Source organism: Homo sapiens, chromosome 4 (genome assembly GCF_000001405.40).
Source record: "Homo sapiens chromosome 4, GRCh38.p14 Primary Assembly".
Classification (NCBI taxonomy): domain Eukaryota; kingdom Metazoa; phylum Chordata; class Mammalia; order Primates; family Hominidae; genus Homo; species Homo sapiens.
Window position 1 is genome coordinate 154,216,912 of NC_000004.12, and position 21,673 is coordinate 154,238,584.

Sequence of the window (21,673 nt, forward strand, 5' to 3'; positions counted from 1 at the left end):
ACTATGAATCATGGTCAGCTTGTGGGTCCACCAATAATATCGGTATTGTGAATAGCTTCGGGTTAATATGTCCAGACATATTTTACTGATTGAAGTGGAGATCTTTGGCTCTACAAACCCATTGGTGCTGGCAGGCATTTGTTGCACACGGAACCAAGGGTCTCTGCACACAGATTAGCATATTCCAATCGGTGGAAAGGATGCTGGGGATGGGCTCCTCCTCTTCCCAGTCCCACATAGTCATCAGTGTGTGATTGTGCTTTTGGAATGACCATGAGTATACACCAGGAACCCACTTGTTGCCAGACACTTCTTGTGGGCTTGCAATAGTTTCACTCTCCTGAGAAAACTGGGGCTTGCTTGGCCATAGTGAATACCATACCCTTTTCTTCTGCCTGTCTCTCCTTGAAGGAAGCTTTATGCTCAAAGAGACAGTAACTACTAAACATCTCTTTTCCTTTAAAGGAACGGGACGTGGAGTTACAAAAATATGACTCTAAATCTGTGTTTGTCTTTTCTCTACTTCCAGGATTGTTAGGTTACCATTGTGAAACAGTTTTCAGCATACAAAGTGCTGTCATGTACATTTTTCTTTTTTTTTTTTTGAGACAGAGTCTCGCTCTGTCACCCAGGGTGGAGTGCAGTCGCGTGATCTCCACTCACTGCAAGCTCCGCCTCCTGAGTTCACGTCATTCTCTCTGCCCCAGCGTCCAGAGTGGCTGGGACTACAGGTGCCCGCCACTACGCCCGGCTAATTTTTTGTATTTTTAGTGTAGATGGGGTTTCACTGTGTTAGCCAGGATGGTCTCGATCTCCTGACCTCATAATCCACCCGCCTCGGCCTCCCAAGGTGCTAAATTATTTATTTTATTCTGGCAGGAAGATGTCAGTCATAATTGTGCTAGGATGCAACATCTGTATATGTAAAGATATGTCAAGGACCTAGACACTTAAATTGGCCCATTTATTAATAGAGGCAAGGCAGTTAAGGGAGAAATATCACATTGGCAGCATTTAGCTAGAAGGACAAATTCTCAGTCATCATTAAATGCCCAGATGATACAAAGACTCAGCTTTTCCCTGGGAGAACTCTGTCAGCTAAGTAATAGGATAAACACCCTGCTTATCTATACCAAACAAATCTCCCAAACTTATACTTCTTTGGAGACATACCTCCTCTTCTTATTCATTTTTACCTAGGCAAGTAAAAATGTAGACATGATTAAGAAATCAAGGACTCAGCTTCCAACAAATGCAATTAAGGCCACAAACAAAACTACACTTAATTATGAAGTTGAATGGTGACATGATCATTCTCTGTGTGCTTTCTATGGGTCACTTGCCAATCAGAAAATGCCACATCTCATTCATCACAGAAACAAGGGGCTCTTTTGCTCAAAGTTAAAATGTGTATTTTAAAAACCCCAACAGTTCTCAGGTTCTGTGGTTCACCCCTAGTAATGTTGTAGAGTTACATGATTGCATTCACTACTGACATTCTTTGTAATGTGAAAGAAAAGAAAACTCATTGGCAGAGGATGCTGATTAAAGCATATGCCTAAAAAATTTTCCACAGCACTTAAATGCTTAAAGATTCATTGCCACAGTTTGCATAGGAAAAACACTCTTTTAGAAGACAAGTTAGTTTTCCTAAGTAAGCAGTATGAATATGAATTTAGAAGCAGCCAAGTTTTAAAGTAAAATCTTTTTATTTGATATTGATACTTGTAATCATTATTTTTTATTTGAAAAATACTACCAACTACTCAGCTCTGTGAAAGCTTACTATGTTGCCAGATTTGCTTCAGATCTTTAAAAGTAATAAAATATTACAACCACATTTGAAGACCACATGCTCCTGTCTTCCCAGTGGTGAGCACCATTGTGTACTTGTATCACATTGAACGTGTATATGTTTATTGACTATACAAATTTCCTTTTCTGTATTTTTTCTTTGTTCATTTATCTATTAAGCTAGCACTTTCTTACTAATTTGTTATTAGGTTGTTGCAAAAGTAATCGCTGTTTTTGCTGGTACTTTCAATGGCAAAAACTGTGATTACTTTTGCACCAACCTAATAAAGGTTATGGATATTAAGGCTTTTTTTCATGACGTATATTGTAAATGCCTTCTTCTAGGTTGTGGATTCTTTTATAACTTTGTATAGCATGATTGTTTCAACACTACTTCTTAATTTTAAAGTAATTTATGAATCTTTTCTTGTGTTTTTGTATTTTGTTTAACAAAGTCTTTCCTACTCTAAGACTATAAAGATACTCTCCTATATTTTAATCTCAAAGTTTAAAATTTAATTTTAATTTCATATGTGATGAAGAGATCCAATTTCATTTTCTTTTTATAAAAATAATAATTCAGCACCATTTATTAAATTATACACTCTCTCTTTATTTACTAAGCTATCTCCATATCAAATTTCCACACAGGTGTGTATTTCTAGGCTACTCTAATCTATTCATCTCTTTCTATCTCATAGGATCCTCCTATCCTTTCTTTTTTCTTCAAAGTTGTCTTCATTGTTCTTTTACCTTTATTCTTCTGTATTAACTTTTAAATAGTATTGTCAAATTCCACAAAAATCCAGATGGCCCTTTGATTAAATTGCATTGAGTTTATAAATGAATTCATAGAGAATTATCACATTTAAATTATTGAGTATTACTTTCCACTATATATCATCATTTAATTAGGTATTTTATTTACTAAAATAATAATTTAAAATTTTTTTCCAAAAGATCTTCAAAATGTTGTTAGATTTATTCTTAGACACCTTATAGTCCTTGTTATTGTGAATGAGATTATGAGATTTTCTTCTATTACATTTTCCATTTGATTGTATATAGAGGTGTTAAAGATATTTGATATTGATCTTGTATTCACAAATGTTATGAGTTATCTGTTAGTTCTAATAGTTTACATATAGAATAGATGTCTAGATAGTGATATTGTCTATAAATATGGACTGTTGAGATTTTTTTTCCCCAAATTTCCCTCCTTCCCTCCCTCCTCCCACCCTTTCTTTCCTTCCTTCCTTCCTTCCTTTCTTCCTTCCTTCCTTCCTGACTGCCTGCCTACCTTCCTTTTTTTTTTTCTACTATTATATACAGCTATTGGTACACTTTTAAATAGTAATAGAAGTGATCCTTAAGTCATGGGCAGATTGACTTAGTTCTTATTCATGAGATCAAGTGTCTATCCAGGTTCTCAAGTTCCCAGGTGGTCAGCAACTTATCTTGTTCTATCCTTTTTGGAGGAGGGAGCTCAGCAGCCCTAACCTGCTTCTGGTTTTAAGTGCTTAGCTTAGCTATGTTCCCCATCTTGCAAAGAGCATTTTAAGCACTTTCCTTCATAAATGTAAAATGTCCATGTCTAGCAATGCCTACTTCCTGCAGTAGACCGGGCCCAAACTTCAGCCTTGCACACGGCTCATTTCTTGTTCAATATCTTGGGAGATTTTTCTCTAGAGTACATACCAAGAAATGAAATTATCCCACTTTCTAAGATATCTTCAACTTTACTAGATATTGCCATGGAGATGATTTTCTTGTGTTTTAATTTGCCTATGCCATTTTTACTTTTATTTGTGCTTTAAGCATTTTATCTCTTGTTGCTATTTTTCTGCAGTGAAAACTGAAGCAATATATGAACTTTTGGAGCCATTTTGGCCAGAAAAGTCATCAGTTCTATTTTAAACGTGACTTTCTTTGTGTGTAAGAAAAGGTGGGAATCAGAACAATTATATTTATGTGTCTGCAGAATAATCCTTCAATTATGAATTCACTATGACTATAGATTCAAACACAAGGGAAATATCTGCCCAGTGGTCATATGGCTTATTTATCATTTGTTGAACATGATCTGTGCATACCAAAGAATTGTTAAAACAGGGTCTGACATACAATGGATATTTGTCCAAAGCTCATGTTGAAAGGTGATCCCTAATGTTGGAGGTGGGGCCCAGTGGGTGCTGTTTGGTCATGGGGGTGGATCCCTCATGAATGGGTTGGTGCCGTCCCTGTGAGTTCTTGCTCTGTTAGTACACACAGAGCTGGTTGTTTAAAAAAGCATGGCACCTCCTCCCCGTTTCTCTTGATCCTTCTTTCACCATGTGACATGCCACTTCCCTTCCCTTTCCACCATGATTAGATACTTCTTGAAGTCCTCACCAGAAGCAGATGCTGGCACCACACTTTTTGTACAGCCTGCAGAACCATGAGCCAAATAAACCTATTTTCTTTATAAATTGCCCCTTCTCAAGTGTTCTTTATATCAGCACAAAATGGAATAACTTAGGGCCACTATAAGTTTATTGTTTTAAAAATTAGACCTTCCTAAGGTGCTTTCAAGTGTGTAAAAGACACACTTTAAGACAATGTAGTGAAGGGGTTAAGAGAAGCGCTTCCAGTCACACCACTGAGTTGGAGTCCAGGTTCCACCAATTACTAGCCATGGTTTCCTTATTAATAAAATGGGACCCTATTAGTACCTACCCTGAAGGGTTATTTTGAAGATTAAACAAAATATACTACACTTAAAACATTTAGCACCAGATTTGGCACATAACAAACACTCAATAAAATTTAGCTATTATTTATTTAAGTTCACAAAGGTTAATATATTATCTTTTATGTGATACATAATCTGACAATAATCTGAAGCTTTTATTTTCATTACTTTCAATTTGTCCATTTCATAAAATTAACCACATATGCTTCCTGTAATTAACATTTAGGATAGGGGTTTTCCATAATTTTTAGATAAAAATAGAAGCTATACTTTTAAATAAATTAAATCAGAAAAAGTTGAACTTCATAATCAAAGTCTATTTGCTTGTGTCTCATTGCTGAAGATTACTTTAATATTCTAACAATAGGCAAATTATTTCCATTATATTAGCTGAAGAGAAAAATGAATGACAGACTAAAAATGATAGATAAGGCAATGAGAAATAAAAATTAAAAGCCAAGTTTAGAGATGACCTGCAGATTCAATTACTAACATTATGAGGCTTTACTCTTATGCTCTGCTCTGTGCAATAGCACTTAAAACTGGTGAATTCATGGTTTAGCCAGGTATACTTACAAATCTGTGTTATAAGTGAACACGCAAGATAAAAATAGTATCGAATTGATGGTGTTATAGTGACAGAAGTATGTTCCTTTGAGGAACTGGCCTTTCTCCACCAAGTGCTTGCCAATCACATGACCCAACCTTTCACATCACAAGATTGACATGAGGCCAGAGAACCCATCCTCCTGAATATTGTAATTGATTTAGAGTTTGTTTTTGCCATACAAAATATTTTTTAGTCAAATTTGTCACCAATTTCTGTTATTGCTTCTGGATTTTGAGTTTATTAGAAAATATTGGCTGGGTGCGGTGGCTCACGCCTGTAATCCCAGCACTTTGGAAGCCGAGGCAGTTGGAGCACCTGAGGTCGGGAGTTCAAGACCAGCCTGACCAACATGGAGAAACCCCATATCTACTAAAAATACAAAATTAGCCAGGCGTGGTGGCACATGCTGTAATCCCAGCCATTGCACTCTAGCCTGGGCAACAAGAGTGAAACTCTGTCTCAAAAAAAAAAAAAGAAAATATTTTCCTATTCCCAGTTTATTAAATTATGCACTTGGGTTTACTTGTAGTATTTACTTATATTTATTTGTATAGTTTATCCTGGTGTGTGGTATGAATCAGTTTGATCTTTTTTCATAAAACTCTCCAGTTACATCAACCACACTGATTTAAAAATTCCTCTTTTCTTAAATGTATGGCCTTTATCATGTGTTATATTTCCATATGCACTCAGTTCTTTGAAGATAATATGTCATTTCTCTCTGAATGCTTTTAAGATATTTTTATTTTGTTTTACAGCAATTTTGCTGTGATGTGCTTGGTTATGGTTTTCTTTTTATTTATCATGTCTGTGGTGTGTAGCACTTACAAAATTGTGATTAAATGTCAGTTTTGAAAGATTCTCAGCTGCTATCTTATCAAATATTTCTGCTGGCCCATTATCTCCATTCTCTTTTTGAGATTCCAATTACACATAGAATCTGTGTGTAATAAATTAAGGTTTATGTTAGATCTTTTTATTTTGTTCCACTCATCCCTTATTTTCTTTACAGTATTTTCCAAACATCTCTCTGTGTTTCAGTCTGTATATTTTCATTAGATATATTTTCTAATTTACTAATCCTCTCTTTATCTGTGTCTAATCTAATGCAAACATTGAGTTCTTAATTTTCAGTTACTGTATCTTAACTCATTTATTAATATATAATTCATATATAATATAAATCATACATCATATAATAATTCACCTATTTAAAGTGTACAATCAATAGATTTTAGTAAATTCACAGAGTCATATAACCACCACTACAATTAATTTTATAACATTTTTATTATCAAAAAAGAAAACCCATACCCATTAGCAGTCATTCACCGTCTTCTCCCAACTCTCCAACCTCTGAGCCCCACTAATCTGCTTTCTATGTCTCTATATATTTGCTTTTTCTGGAAATTACACATAAACAATCATAAAATACGTGATCTTTTGTGACTGGATTTTTTCACTTTGCATAATTTTTCTCAAGTTCATCTGTCTTACAGCATGTGTCAGTACTTTATTTTTGCTGAATAATACTCAATTTTATCGATATACCACATTTGGTTTATATATTCATCAGTTAATTGACATTTGGGTTGTTTCCACTTTTTGGCTTTTATAAATAATATTGCTATAAACATTCCCGGACAAATGTTCATATGAACATAACTTTTATTTCTATTGGATATACACCTAGGAATGGAATTGCAGAGTATTATGATTTGACTTTTTGAGAACCTCCTGGACAGTTTCCGTACAGACTGTACCGTTTTACATTCCCATCAGCAGTATATGAGAGTTCCAATTTCTCCATATCATCACTAATTCTCACGTGTTATTATCTTTCTTTTTATTATAGCTATCTTAGTAGGTGTGAAGTGGCAGTTGTATTTTATAGTTTGGAATTTCTTTTTCATTAAAAGAATAGTTTTCAGTTCTCTCCTGATATTCTCTATTATGGCATCTAATTTCTTGAACAGCTATTTGAAAGTCCACGTGGGATAATGCAATACATGAACTTCCTGTTGCCTGTTTCTATTATGTATTTATGTATATTATGTGTATATATATATATATATATATATATATATATATATATATATATATTAGCTCTGGTCATGTGGGCTTTTCCTCAGTATCTCTAGCAATTTTGGATTGAATGCTGGACATTGTTGTGAATAATCACAAATGCTCTGAATGATTTTATCTTCTATAGAGGTCTAAATATTATTTTTGGCAGGCAGTTAGAGTAGTGACAGATTACCAGACTCAAATACGTGATTGATTTTATTTGAAACTTGGCAATATACTTTGTGAGAGCTTGTCTTTTCTAGTTTACCTCTGCTCCTGAGGTGTAGCTTTCTAGGATTTCCAACTTACAGGCTGGCATATTTATCAAAGGCCTGCCTCCTTGGTAAGCAAATCAGAAATAAAATTCTAAGACCCCAATTATCTGAATGAATTCCTCCTCTCAACCAACAGCATTCCAAAGTTAACCTGAATAACTAGTTCAGGCCATGATAGGAAGTGGGAGTTGGACATGCCTAATTTTACCTCCTGTCTTTTGGAATTCAGGAAAAGCCAACCAACATTCACATCAACACAGACTTTAAGTCTGTTAAGAAACATTTACAGTCTATTCTCTCTGAAGTCAGCTACCTGGAGTCTTCAGCTGAAAGATAAAACTTTGGTCTCCACAACCCCTTATTGTAACACAGACATTCCTTTCTACTGATGCCAGGTGTTTAGATAATTTCACTCTTTCAAGCAATTGCCAATCACAAAATCTTTAACTGTTCCTATGACCTGGGAACCCCCACTTTGAGTTGTCTTGCTTTGCACATTGAATCAATGTACATCTTACATGCATTGATTGATGTATTATGTCTCACTAAAACGTATAAAAATGCAAGCCGTACCACAAGCACCTTGGGAACATGTCATCAGGATCTTTCAAGGCTGTGTCATGAGCATGTCCTTAACCTTGGTGAAATAAACTTTCTAAATTGATTGATGCCTGTCTCAGATACGTTTGGGTTTACAACCCTTAACTCTAATTTTTGTCCCCAAAAAATTGCCAATAGTTCTGTGTAGCTACTTCACCTTGCAGTTGACATTGCTGCTCAGCCTCAAGGGTGTTAGAGGCACAGTGTACTATTAGGTTTACCTCTCTGTGTTTCTCATCTTTCCAGGAGCATGGCATCTCAAGTCTTAACTGCCTTGGTGGTTCTCTGATGCTTCACATACAAACACACGTACACAAAACTGTTTCTTTTTCTTCTTCTCCTTTTCCTTCTACTCTTATACCTCTAGCTTCCACTCCTCCTCTGTCCCTCCTCCTTTTTATTAATTACCCAGCTTTTTGTACTTATTCTCAGTGGTGGGGTTGGTATACAACAACCTAATTCATCATTACAGGAAGCCTTCCATGCACTTGGATCCATTTTTGTATTTTCTATTCGGTTCCATTAGTCTATCTAGTCATGCCCTATTGCCACCCTGTTTTAATTATCGAGGCTTTAATAATACATTTGTTATCTGATAGGGTTAGTGCATGAGTGCATGTTTGTGTACACATGCATATACACACACACAGCTCTTTTTAGTGTTTCCCAGTTATCTTGTCTGTTTATGCTTCCAAATAAACAGTATAATCAAGTTCTTTAACTCCAGAAAAAAATATAATATGTATATTAAGATAAGGTTAAATTTGTAAATTTACTTAGGAACAACTGGCATTTTTCTAACATTTACTATTTCTATTCAAAAACATCTACTCGAGTTTACTCTATGCACTTCAGGAGATATAATTTTCCTCACATAGAAGTTAGACATTTTTTGGGTGAAGTTTTTGCTTAGGTATTTTAAATTGTAAATGGAATCTTCTCTTTCATTCATCCTCTAACTGATTGTTATTCATATATGTAAAGAGTAGTGATGTAATTTCTTGCATGTTTATTTTATATCTTGCAACTTTACTAATTTGTTTTGTTTATGGTAGTTTTCCATCAATTATTTTGAGCTTTCCAGAAAAATAACATAGTGTACCAATCGAGATGGTTTCACCTTATTCTTTCAAACTCTGATGTTTCTAATTGCTGTCTTGTCTACTTGTATGGACTAATTTCTACAATATAACATTAAATTTTGGCAGAGAGACTAGGCATGTTGTCTTGTTCTTCCTTTCACCAGAAAGAATCTAGAGTATCTCCATTGGGGAAGATCTGGCTTTTGGATTAAATATCATTTTAAGGATGATAATGATTTTAAAATTTAAATGATACTTAAAATGACGATTTTAAGGATTAATCATTGACGATTATTGAGTGCTTTTTGCATCACTGGGTATTGGGTTTTGTTAAGTGCCTTTTTGCCATTTAAGAAAATGTTCTTATTTTTTTTCCACAGCTCTATTAATGTGAATTACATTGATTGTTTTCTTAATATTGAATCATTTTGTGTTTATGCAATAAATCCTACATGTTGTGAGGTATTATTTTAAAATATGCTATTAATTCTTTTTGCTAATATTTTATTTTAGAATTTTGCATACCTATTTATAAGTGGGAATAGTCTATAGTCTTCTATTTTGTACAATTTTTAAGATTTTGATATGAATTCTACATTCAATTCATTAAAAGATTTTAAATATTTTCCTTATTTTTTCATGCTTTGGAATAGTTTATATAGCATTTGGATGATCTAGGATTTAAAGGATTTTTAAGATGTCACTCTGAAACTTTGCGAGGGTGCTTCTTTATATCTTTATTTTTTTCTTTTAAGTTTGGTCCATTTAGATTCTATGTTTACTGAGATCAATTTTAGTAAATTAAATTTTCCTATAAAATGCATTTTTAAGTATTTCAATAAATTTCTATATAGTTGTGCAGAAAAGTCTCTTTTGATGTTAATTCCTCTCTTTGGTGGCTCTCATTATCCTCTCTTTGCTCTTTCTTATTATGTATGCTATTATTTTTTACTTTCTCACATTTAATTTATTTAATTTTATTGATTTTTAGGGAACAAGATTTATTTATTCATAAATTCTGAGTTTTTTGTTTGTTAATTTTTTAACTTTAATATTTCTTTTCTTCTAATTTCTTCATTTTTCTAATTTATGGCAATAGCTGTTACTCCCAGTTAATACCTATCAGGCAATTAGAAAGCATTCTATTTCCATATACTCTACCTTTCTTCTCTCATTTTTGTAGTTAAAATTTATTCAGATGATCAGGGCATATATTAAGCATATACTATTCTATCACCTTTATATCCACCATCACCTCTACAGTTAAATATCTTTAGTGGCCTTATGGTGAACCTGCCCCAGTATTTCCCAGTTGTCTGAAACTCATTTTCTACTTGATTCTTGAAAAATGTTCCTTGAGGTCTTACATACTCATAGCCTTCTCTATGACATATGTATATATATTATGTTGTGTGTGTGTATATATATATGTATACACATATGTCTATGACATATGGTATAATTTATCATATTTATCATATGGCATTAATTTACCATATTTTCAGTTCCATTTGATTTTTAATATTTTTTTCCTTTCCATTTTCTATTTCTCTTACTGTATTTTCATTGGTGTTTATTTACTTTTGTTCTTTCCAGTTTAGTCTTCTGAATTTTTTCTCTCATTTCCAATTTTTTGTTTACACTTTTTTATTTTTAATTATTACAGATACTAGTTGTATAGTTGTATATATTTATGGGGTACATGTGATATTTTGATAAAAGCATATAATGCATAATGATCAAATCAGGGAAACTGGGATATTCATCACCTCAAGCATTTATCATTTCTTCGTGTTAGGAACATTCCAATTTTATGCTTTCAGTTATTTTGAAATAATCTTATTCCTTCTATCTAACTGTATTTTTGTATCTATTCACCATGCCCTCTTTATCTCCCCTCCCCACTACCCTTCCCGCCCTCTGGTAACCATCATTCTACTCTATCTCCATGAGTTTAGTAATTTTTAGCTCCCACATGTTAGTGAGAACCTCAATATTTGTCTTTCTGTGTCAGGCTTATTTCACTTAGCATAATGTCCTCCAGTTCCATCCATGTTGCTGCAAATGACAGAATTTCATTCTATTTTTATGGCTGAGTAATATTCTATTGTGCATCTACCTGTACTACATTTTCTTTATCCATTCATCCACTGATGGACACTTGGGTTGATTCCATATCTTGGCTATTGTGAGTAGTGCTGCAATAAACATGGGAGTGAAGATATCTCTTTGATGTACTGATTTCCTTTGTTTTGAATATATACCTAGCAATAGGATTGCTGGATCACATGGTAGTTCTATGTTTTTGTTTTTTGAGGAACAGAGAAAGAGGAACCCTCTACAATGTTGGTGAGAATGTAAATTGGTACCTCCACTATGGAGAACAGTATGGAGGATCCTCAATTATTTCTTGAGCTCTGTTTTCTTTCTTTTAGTATCCTCCTCTTGGTTAGCCTTTTAATTTTTGCCTTGTCTGATTGATTATGCAACCTTTACAGTTTTTATTATTTTTCTAATGTTCTTTAGCTGGTTTTGAAATATTAAGTAAAAAAAAACTTTTATTGGCCTTTTTGCTATATTTTTCTAGTGGATCTTCACTGTTCATTATTGTGTCAGTCAGCGCATGTACGAAATAAAATGTCTTTGCTTACAAGACATTTTATTCTGAAATTATTTTCTGTTGCTCACGTTTTATTGAGATGGATTATATTATATTTTAGGGGTTATAATGTAGGGGTGGTAGCAGACCAGAATAGCCTTCCTAGATTCATGCATGGCTTTAAGACCCCTTCTTCTTTTGTTTCTGCAAAATATTTACAAATAGGACCTCTTTGTACCTTCTGTTTTCTCTGGTCCCTTCTCTCCTTTATATCTAGGACTTCTCTCCATTTTCTATTTATATAGATTTGAATTCTATTTTCAGTAGACTTTACTTAGTGTGGGGTTCTCTTCTTACAGAAGGAAATTTTGGTTGACTATTTCCAGAGGCTCTGGAACTTGAGTGCCCCTGCATAATCTGATTTCACTTTAGTTTTTCTACACCCATCTACAGAGTTGCTGCTCTGTAACCTCTCTCTAGTTTTGGCAATTATTCTCAGACCTGCCTGCTAGGTTTCCATCCAAGAGCAGACTTCTGCTTTAGTAGGTGAGTACTTGTGGATTCTTGGTACTCCAGCTCACAGAAAGTTGGAAGTTCCCCCTTTCTCCTCTCTGTTACTGCCAATAGTTGGTAATTTTTCTTGCCTATCCATATTCTAGAATTTGTAAGAATGATCCTTGTGTTTGTTGAAGATAACCATGAGGTTTTACTTTTACTATTCTAGATGCTCTAACCATTTTGTAAGGGGAATTGGGATGGTTTAAAAGTCTGCACTGATGCTGCCATGTTGCCCTGACTAAAACCTAAATCACTTCCTTTATTTGGTTTTGGAGAGACATCATACTACACTGTCTTTCTATCCTATCTCACTCGGCTGGTTTTTCTGAGAATTATTTGTTTATGGTGTGAGGAGAAATTTCATATTTACTCCCTTCCCTAATAACCTGGCACACACTTATGAGATAATCTAATCTATATTTGTTTAAAATGTTACCCTTGACACACACTAAGTATATGCACATATAGAATATCCCTCATAAATTCCTTATGTTGTTTGTACTTTAAATATTGATACATTTTGATGTAAATATTCTAGGCATATCTACTGAACTGCATTTTGTTATCATACTGATAGAACTTCATTCTGCCATTCTGCTATAGGGCAGTTACAGTTTATTATGAGATCAGAAATTAAATTAAACCAATGTGCTTGGTCATGTCATGTTGCTGTCTCAAACAATATGCTTTTGAATGTCATATATAGCTTGTTTCTCTTATGTCTAAACTTCACAAGATATACATGTATATTGTGGGGAAGGCAGAGAGAAGGAAAAAAACCAAACTGGATTACAGAAGAAATTACTATTCCTTTGGCATTTTATAAGATATTCTATAATATTTTGATATAATGTTTAAACTTACTTTCTCTCTGCTTTGTGACTGGCTAAAATCACAGAACTATTGTAGCATTCTCACCTAATGGGTTCAAGGCTATGTGTCACATCCTTGCATTACAGCATCCTCTGTGCCCGTTCACATATGTACTCATTCATTCTAAAAACCATCTGTACCTCATAATGCAAGTGGAGACAGACCCTGAGGGTTTATAATCTCACAACGAAATCCATTTATTTAGTTTTCTAACCAAAATAATGCTTTCTCATTCAAGAGATGTACTTGTGCATCTGCTATTTATTTGGCATGCCTTTCCCCTCTCTATTACTCACTTCACAGTTTTGGTTTAGCAAATGCATTGGGTGAAATGAATAAAGATATGTAGACCAAAACAGTAGGAAGTGTTAATTGTCATCAAATAGCCAAGTTCTGAGTTTATAAGAGAAAGGTATAGTTTGATACTCCAGCCACTTTAGGCTGGATCTTTCTAAGATGGCCACATTCTGTTTCTAATAGACAAATTTCTTTGATCTATATGGAACAATTTAATTTATGAATAATTTATGCACCAGAATTCAAATAAAATTGACAATGTTTGAGAACAAACTGTTGACCATGCCCTTGTCTTATTTTATACTGTGGTTTAAAAGTGATATAAAATGTAATATTTTAACATAAACTCACAACTGTCAAGCGTGCACTCATTTTAAAAACGGACTGGCCATCAGGAAAAAGATTAGGTAATGAAATTCCACATTCTGACCCACTGTCTTCTGAATGTCCATTTATTTGTTTATGTGAATAAAAGCAACTACTTAAAACTGTGGCATTCTCAGTGCCAGTGTAGAGTGGGAAATACGGTAATCATTCCTACTTTTGTTCTGAAATTCACCCCAAAAAAACACAATAAATGCAAGTTTTCATGGTCAAATGTATTCTCATTCATTATCATCTAGCTTTCAATTCACAGCTTGATACATCTAAATTGTCAGACAATGGAGAGAGAGATTTGAGAGGAACACAAAGGAAGGAGGAAAAGAGATTCTTCAAAAGGATGAATCTGTGAAGGGCAAATGACTCAGAAAAATCTTCATACACTAAAAATTACTTTTTAAAAGTCCCTACCCATCTACTTTCTTGTATTTCTCTACTTGTGTCCTAATTATTCATTTTAAGATTTAATTGTCTATTTCTCTTCTGTCCCTGCCTGCCTCTCCCCCTCCCTTCCTCTTTCACTTTTCTCCTTCCATCTTTATAGTGGGTAAAAACTCCCACTGAAATGCTTCGTTTGGGTCCTAAGCAAATCTTCTGCAACTCCACTGGATCCCAGTATCCCTCCTGTACAGGACCATCTTCCATTCTAAGTTCCTTCAGTTATGGCCAAATAGATGTCTCTATACCTTTGAGCTCAAGTAAAACACGCTGTGAAAATAAACTCAATTTGCTTATCTGGAATATCACGTGAGAATACACTGACCATATTAACGCCATATATTTTATTGCTTTGAAGTGGATTATCTTAGATCCTTAGTTATGTCTTGCTTTTTAAAGTTAAGGTATGTATAGAATGGCAGAACAAAAGTAACAAAGTGTCTGTTTGGATGAAAATAACTAAAATTTACAATTAATTTTCATTGCTATAACTTCTAGAAAACACAGCAAGGAGGGCTAAAGGTGAAGGTGCTGAGAAACACAAATCCTGTCTCAACTGGACGTCTATTATAGATTGAATATGAATACATGGAGGCAGCCAGTAATGTAGAGTGCATTTTAATAATTTTTAAAAGAGTTAAATGATCAAATCCCTAAAGATACAGCATTTTTCTTTTTCTTTGCCCAGGAATCTGTTTTGGAAGCCAATTCAATGATTACTACTAGGACATGGAATTTTGATATCCATTTGGTACTGATTTACACCAGTATTTTTAAGGCTGCCAACAAGAAAGTCCAGAATTTCATCAGGCAGCCAAAATTCCACAAGAGACAACTGTCTTTTATTTTATAGCTTATGAATTTGGGGCTTAATATGATTTTCCACTAACAAGTTCTGTACCCCCTCCAGAGTGCTAAAGCCAGTGCATAGATCAGCAAAGTAACCCAGAACATATGAGGCAAGTTAATATTAAACTTGAAGGAAAAATGTACAAATTATATTGTTTACTTAGGAAAAAAAGCACTCTAGTTGAAAGAGCTGACATACGATTTATTGCAAACACTTAACCAGCGTGTTCACATTTTTAACCCCATTCCCACTTGTAGTACTTGTTTGGTGGCATTGTGGCACTGGATACAGACTGATAAACCCATCAATTAAAAATCCATTAAATATTGGTAAAAAAGCTCTATTACATGTCTTCTCTTGTTATGCAATGGCTAGAAAACATACAGAATCACATCCATAATGAGTAAATAAATCACAGTAATAAATAACTAACTTAGGGAATAGGTAGATGAATAACTCTTTTTAAGCATAAGTAAATGAAGAACCTGTTTAATTAAAAACAACAAAATGTTCTTAGTTTCCAGAAATAATTCTATTGTGAAAAGAAAACTTCCATATATAATTAGGAAAATATAGTATAGGGTTTCTTTCTATGCTCAAAGCAATGTTTTCAAAAGAGTCAGAGATAATAAATACTGGAACACATAAATGATTAAATATGTGTGGGTTTTTTTTTTACATAAGTCATGAAATCTTCTTCCCCAGATGCCAGGAAGAAAAGGAGAAACATCATATATCAGTCCCATAGTATTTAAATTTTCTACTCCTAAAGGATTTTTCCTAGGATTTCAGGCTTATTCAAAAACCTTCATGTTTCATACAATTTGTAATATAGCTTTATACATTTGTTCCCAATCTCAGTCAGCATAGATAGATAATAGAAAATATCAGCATAGGAAGCTGTAGAATTACTTATCTACAAAACCAGACATCAAACACTGCACCTTGCAATATTTTTTAGTAAAGAGAAATTATGTCACAAAATTTCACAGATGAGGCCTATGGAAGAAGAACACAAAGGAACTATATCTGTAGTAGAAGCCCATCCTAACTACTAAGAAAGCCACACGATACCCTTTAGATTTCACATTAGAATTCCTAAACTGTTAGCCTAACACCTGGCCCTCATGCTGACCACAGGAAGAGGACTTCTGAACCACCATCGTCAGGATGCTGTCCACCTTCCTGAAAGGGATGAGAATCTGTGAGGGATTCCCAGGCTTATCAGAAAGAAGGCTAGAGCATTGTATGTGAGCACCATCTAGCACTGCTATATTTCTAAAATAGTAATTGTACAGAGTCATTTTAACCATGTGCCAAACTGCTCCATCTAATGACAGTTAAATTAAAGCTGCAAGTGTGTGAGCAAATGGTAAAAAGACTTCTGACTTCTATTCTTAACTTTTATAGTAGAAACATTTCCATAAAAAACTTCATTTAAAAATATATTGCTAAATTACTCTATGAGATTTATCATTAGCTAATGACATGATTTTTATCTACACAAATTTTAAAAACTGACATTGAGTGGATAAATTATTTCACACAAAAAAGTTACTGTATCTAGAAGAAAATAAAATGAAGACATTGCTATAAATTAACCTTTGAAGTTTAATGTCTTTACCCACACCTACTTATAAGACAAGACCTGAAAAAAAAGCCATTCTGTTTGTAAAGAAGGCCAAGATAATATGTTTCAGGTGGTAGCAAACCACATAAATATTGCGAGTATCAATCCTGGCCCTCTATCAGGAACATGCATTTCTGGTTTATTGAATCATGAATAATTATTTATATTACCTATCATTATAAATCCTATTTGTTTCTCCCTATTGTCACAGAGTTATGACAAATTTCCTTCTGAATTTTTTATTAGTTTTCCAAAAGACTCCACATTGAAATTCAATTATGGCTAAACTCTACAGGTGTGGTATATGGGGAAAAATGGAGAAATACTCCTCTAAATATATCAGATCCACCAACTATTGCTTTATCTTAAAATGAAAGTTTATTCCTCTAGACTTCCCCTCTCTGCTATATGTTCTGACCTAAACTCATTCTCCATTTAGCCTTTACTAGTTTGTTTTTGATATAGCAGTGTGATCAGCAGCAATGTGACCAGAGTACACTATATTTTGTTTCCATATAAACATTCTGGCAGTCAGTTAAGTTCACTGTGTCCTTTGGAAGTCTAATCATACAGACAACAGGTCTGACAGAATATACACTACTTAATATATACAAATGTGAGTCCTGAGAGCAACACATAAGGATTAAAAGAGGAAATAACTTTTCATTAAGGCTGGAAGAAATTGGAGAAACTTTAATGGGGAAGTTTTAAAAACTCTAACTAAATTACATCACTTGCTTTTAGATAAAAATGAGCCCAATCTCGAGTTGCTGGCTTGAAAACATTTTGTTCATTCATTCATGACCAATGGTGAGCAGGTACTTGGCATCCCAGTGGTTTCATATTTGAACTTCATCTTCTGCTTTAAGTTCATGGCATGTACCACTGATGTGTGTTCCTAATAATTCTCCTTCTCTCAACAGTGGAGACAAGGCAGGAGGCTGCATCGTCAATAGGGAAAGAGATGGAGAAAAATTGGGAGTCATGCCTTCTGGCAGAGAACCAAGATGGTAGGGGATGGGAGAGCGTGGGTGTTTCGGAGGCACCTGCCCCAGGTTTACTGCCGGCATTCTTGGTGGGACTGCTTTAATCCCAGGCTGGGCTACTGCTGTTATCAAAGGGGGTGGAAAAACAAAAGATTTCTTCTCTTTTGGAATGCCAGGCATATGCAAATGTTCATCCTTTAGTTTTGCAATATCATTAAATACTGAGGCAAGAGGTTGGAATTTGGGCTCCCAACTAAGAAGATAATTCCAGTGATAGTTGTCTTTTCCATCATGATCAGAGGTCGTCTGAGTTGAAAGAGCTGCACACCTTACTTCCTGATCACCTGAAATAAAGACAGACTCTTTTCTAACGTCAGCCAGGATGCTCTCTTTTGCCTCTCTCTTCTGAACTGTCTGGGGTAACACATTATTTTGAGCACAGGTGGTGCTGCAGCCTTCCCCTTGATCTCCTTCCCCAAATGTTTGGCTGGCTTCTGCTGTTTCGGCAGTCACCATCACATCAGTTTCCCCAGATAGGCAGGAGAGCTGGTCTGAGTCCCTCGGGATACCCGAGTCTGGCACCCTGGACTCGTGGTCACTCAGAGCTGAGTCTGAGCACTTTCTGTAGGGATGCTCATTTATCCTCTGGATTTCCTTATCTTCTGCAGTTTCTCCTTCCACAGAACAGTGGCCACTGGAGTTTGAGTGTCTGTACAGATTGACAATATCCTTCTCCATGATACTTATTAAACTCAACCATTCCGGAGTGGCATCCACAGGGACCACCTCGTTACTGCAGTCGTCAGTTTTCTGGAAGGCTTTGAGCACACTGGCATCCCGGGTCACTCTCAAGTCCGCATCTAAAGATGAGGTTTTCTTCTCCTCATAATTGTTTATTGTGTCTTTTTGTTTATGTCTTAAAATCATTACAATTAGAATGCAGATGAGTATCAGAAACACTAAAAAGGAGACCACCAGGCTGATTGAAAAGCTGCTGGCGAACACTGCCAAGGGTGTTCCTTCAGAGGAGAAAGACACATTCACAAAAACAGTGCAAGATGCAAACTTGGAATCTGATTTGGGACTATGAGCGATTATTTTCATTTCCAAGGTGTCTTCTTTGTTGAGTTGACTTTTTATTAGGGGAAGGGCTCTAATCAAATAAATATTTCCATTGGTTTTATTTACTGAAAAGAAAGGAGATGAGGTTCCAAGGGAGTAAAGAATGACTCCATCAATACCAGCATCTGCATCTGAGGCTTCCACTCTGCCAATCAACTGTCTGTCTTTATTCTTTTCTGGGAGGGTGAAAAAATACTGATCTTGAGTGAAAATGGGCTCAAATTCATCTATCCCTTCAATATCCACCCAGACCACTAAGGAGGCAGTTGCATCACCTTTGTCTTTGGCTTGGACTGTGAGGCAGTATTTATTGCCATTTTCATAGTCAAGGATTTGCTTAGCATGAATATCCCCTGTCAAAGGGTCAATGAGGAAGAGATCATGATCATAAGACATTCCATGAGTGAGAAAACAGGGTGATACAATAGAATAGGTCAATTCTCCATACGGACCAGCATCAAAATCCAGAGCATTTATAGAGCATATGGTAGAGGAAATAGGCAGATTTTCTGGAACAATACAGCTGAAGCTTGAGAACATAAACTGAGGTGCATGGTCGTTATCATCCAGGACACTGACAAACACAACTGCAAAAGAAAAATGTTTCTTTTCTGCATCTGAAGCTTGGACAGTTAAGGTGAATTTTGTCATTTTTTCATAATCCAGAGGTTTAATCAAATAAAGAACTCCAGTGTTTTCTTCTAAGTAAAAATGTCCCTTCTCATTTCCAGAGATGATGTTGTAGATGATTTCTGCATGTGACCCTGTGTCACGGTCATTTGCTGAGACCACAGTGATGTGACTCCCTAGAGGGGTGCTTTCCTTGACATGGGTGTGATAGCTCAGGCTGCTGAAGTTTGGGGGATTGTCATTGACATCAAGTACTTGTATTGATATGACAGCTGTGGAACTCAATGGAGGGCAGCCACTGTCAGATGCCAGAATGACAAGCTCATGGCTAGCACTTGCTTCTCTGTCCAGACTGTGAAGCAACACAAGATAACCGACTTGCTTATAAGGATATTCTGAATGAAAGAACTTAGTTTCCACATGAAAATTGTTCTGTGAATTACCACTGATGATGGAATATTCAACATATGTGTTTTCACGGGTCCAGTCATGGTCGATGTTTGAAAATGTAACAAGCGTGCTTCCAACCAGAGCATCCTCACTTAGGCTAAGATTATAGGATTTGACTGTGAATTCAGGGGCATAATTGTTCATATCTTCTATTCCTATCTCCACTAAAGTAAGAGCTCTCAGGTCAGGATTTCCACCATCACTGGCTTCCACAAGAAATTGAGTTGTTGATATTGTATCCAGAAGTAATACGGGACTGATAGTAAATATTGTGCCTGAAAAATAAGACATAGTATTTCAACACTGTGAGGTGCAGTTTTGATGATCCATTTAATCGGCAGTTGACTATCCAATGTCTACTAATATGTGTTTAATTCTTTGTTAGATCTGTTAAGTCACAATGAACAATGACTCCAAATAGAAATACAAATTATTGTATTTATATGTTTATAACATGTAAGATACAGAAATAATATTCATGACATTCACTCTGTGAAATATGTGTGCTGCTTGAGGTTGCTGTTGCCACAAATTCCTCTGAATTTTGTTTTTGTATAGTAAGTTGTTCCACTATTCTTAAAAAATATTTTTGTTTGTAAAATTTATACCCCATTCTACTACCCACAAACACATGTATAAAGATATTCTGGCATAAAGATACTTATTCTGGAAATACTTGTTGATATTCAAGCCAAATGAAAGCAGTAAAAATGATAATGCTGAGTTACTATTATACTATTGCTTAATTAGAGAGATGGGCTTTCCTACAGATCATGCAAGTCGATGTTTCCCTTATTGCTGAAATGTAGTTGATAAAGTTTATTGTACTAAATATAGAAATATTTAATTTTTATAAATGTGTGTGTTAAACCATTTTTAAGATAAATATGTCTTAAGGATGGTCACTAAGAAAGAATACAGAATGCTGACATTTAAATGCCATGTTTCAGTTAGAGTCCCACCATGAACTAAATCGGCCATCATTTAATGTTTTAAAAATATTTGAATCAATAGCTTAGTGCGTTTAATGTTTTAAACATTGCATTTAATGTTTTTAACATTGCCTTTAATGTTTTAAACATTTAATGTTTTAAAAATATTTGAATCAATAGCTCAGTGCAAAATCTGTCAATAGCACATGTCAAGTAAAAGTGTTGCTAAGGATTGAGTGCTCAGAAGAACTGCCTTGCACACTGTGATTTGCTGTGGCCGGGGTGGCAGTTGCCATCATCTGAGACTACAGAAAGAGAGACAGACAGAGAGAGAAAAGACGGTGGGGGGGTGGGGTGGGGATACAGAGAGAAGAATAGAAGAGCCAAATTCCTGATACGTTTGTAATCATGCAGTAATCGTTCATCCACAGGCAGCATGATACAGGACGTACTTCTCCATTTACAACACCCGGTGGGCTTCATGCTGGTATTTTGGGACTAAATTCCCCTTTCAGGTAATCCCAAGGTTAATTTTTAAATGAACTCTCACTTGTGAAATGATGCAATGGTGGATAGAGATGGGGAACACAGAGTGTGATGTCTCCCAGGCCCTGTTATTTTCTAGTATGCTCTGCTAGGGACATTGTTTTGCTACTTATTCATCTTTACAAAATTTAGCTTTTAAATTAAATTAAATGTCCACTCACTGTTCAACTTTCTCTATATACTGTTTAATTGAATGTAGAATCACTTGCCTGAAGGCATTTC

The 21,673-nt window shown here is 35.0% G+C and overlaps 1 protein-coding gene and 1 long non-coding RNA gene across 3 annotated transcripts in view; one reads left to right on the forward strand and one right to left on the reverse strand.

Moving 5' to 3' along the window:
- The window catches only part of LOC101927947 (uncharacterized), a 469,997-nt gene that overhangs the window by 388,089 nt on the left and 60,235 nt on the right, over window positions 1-21,673 (forward strand). The gene's annotated exons all lie outside the window — the stretch shown is intronic.
- The window catches only part of DCHS2 (dachsous cadherin-related 2), a 260,058-nt gene continuing 253,215 nt past the window's right edge, over window positions 14,831-21,673 (reverse strand). Inside the window, exon 20 of the mRNA NM_001358235.2 lies at window positions 14,831-20,248. Coding sequence (NP_001345164.1) covers window positions 17,625-20,248 — 2,624 coding nt within the window. The 3' untranslated portion in view covers window positions 14,831-17,624. The remainder of the gene's footprint in view (window positions 20,249-21,673) is intronic.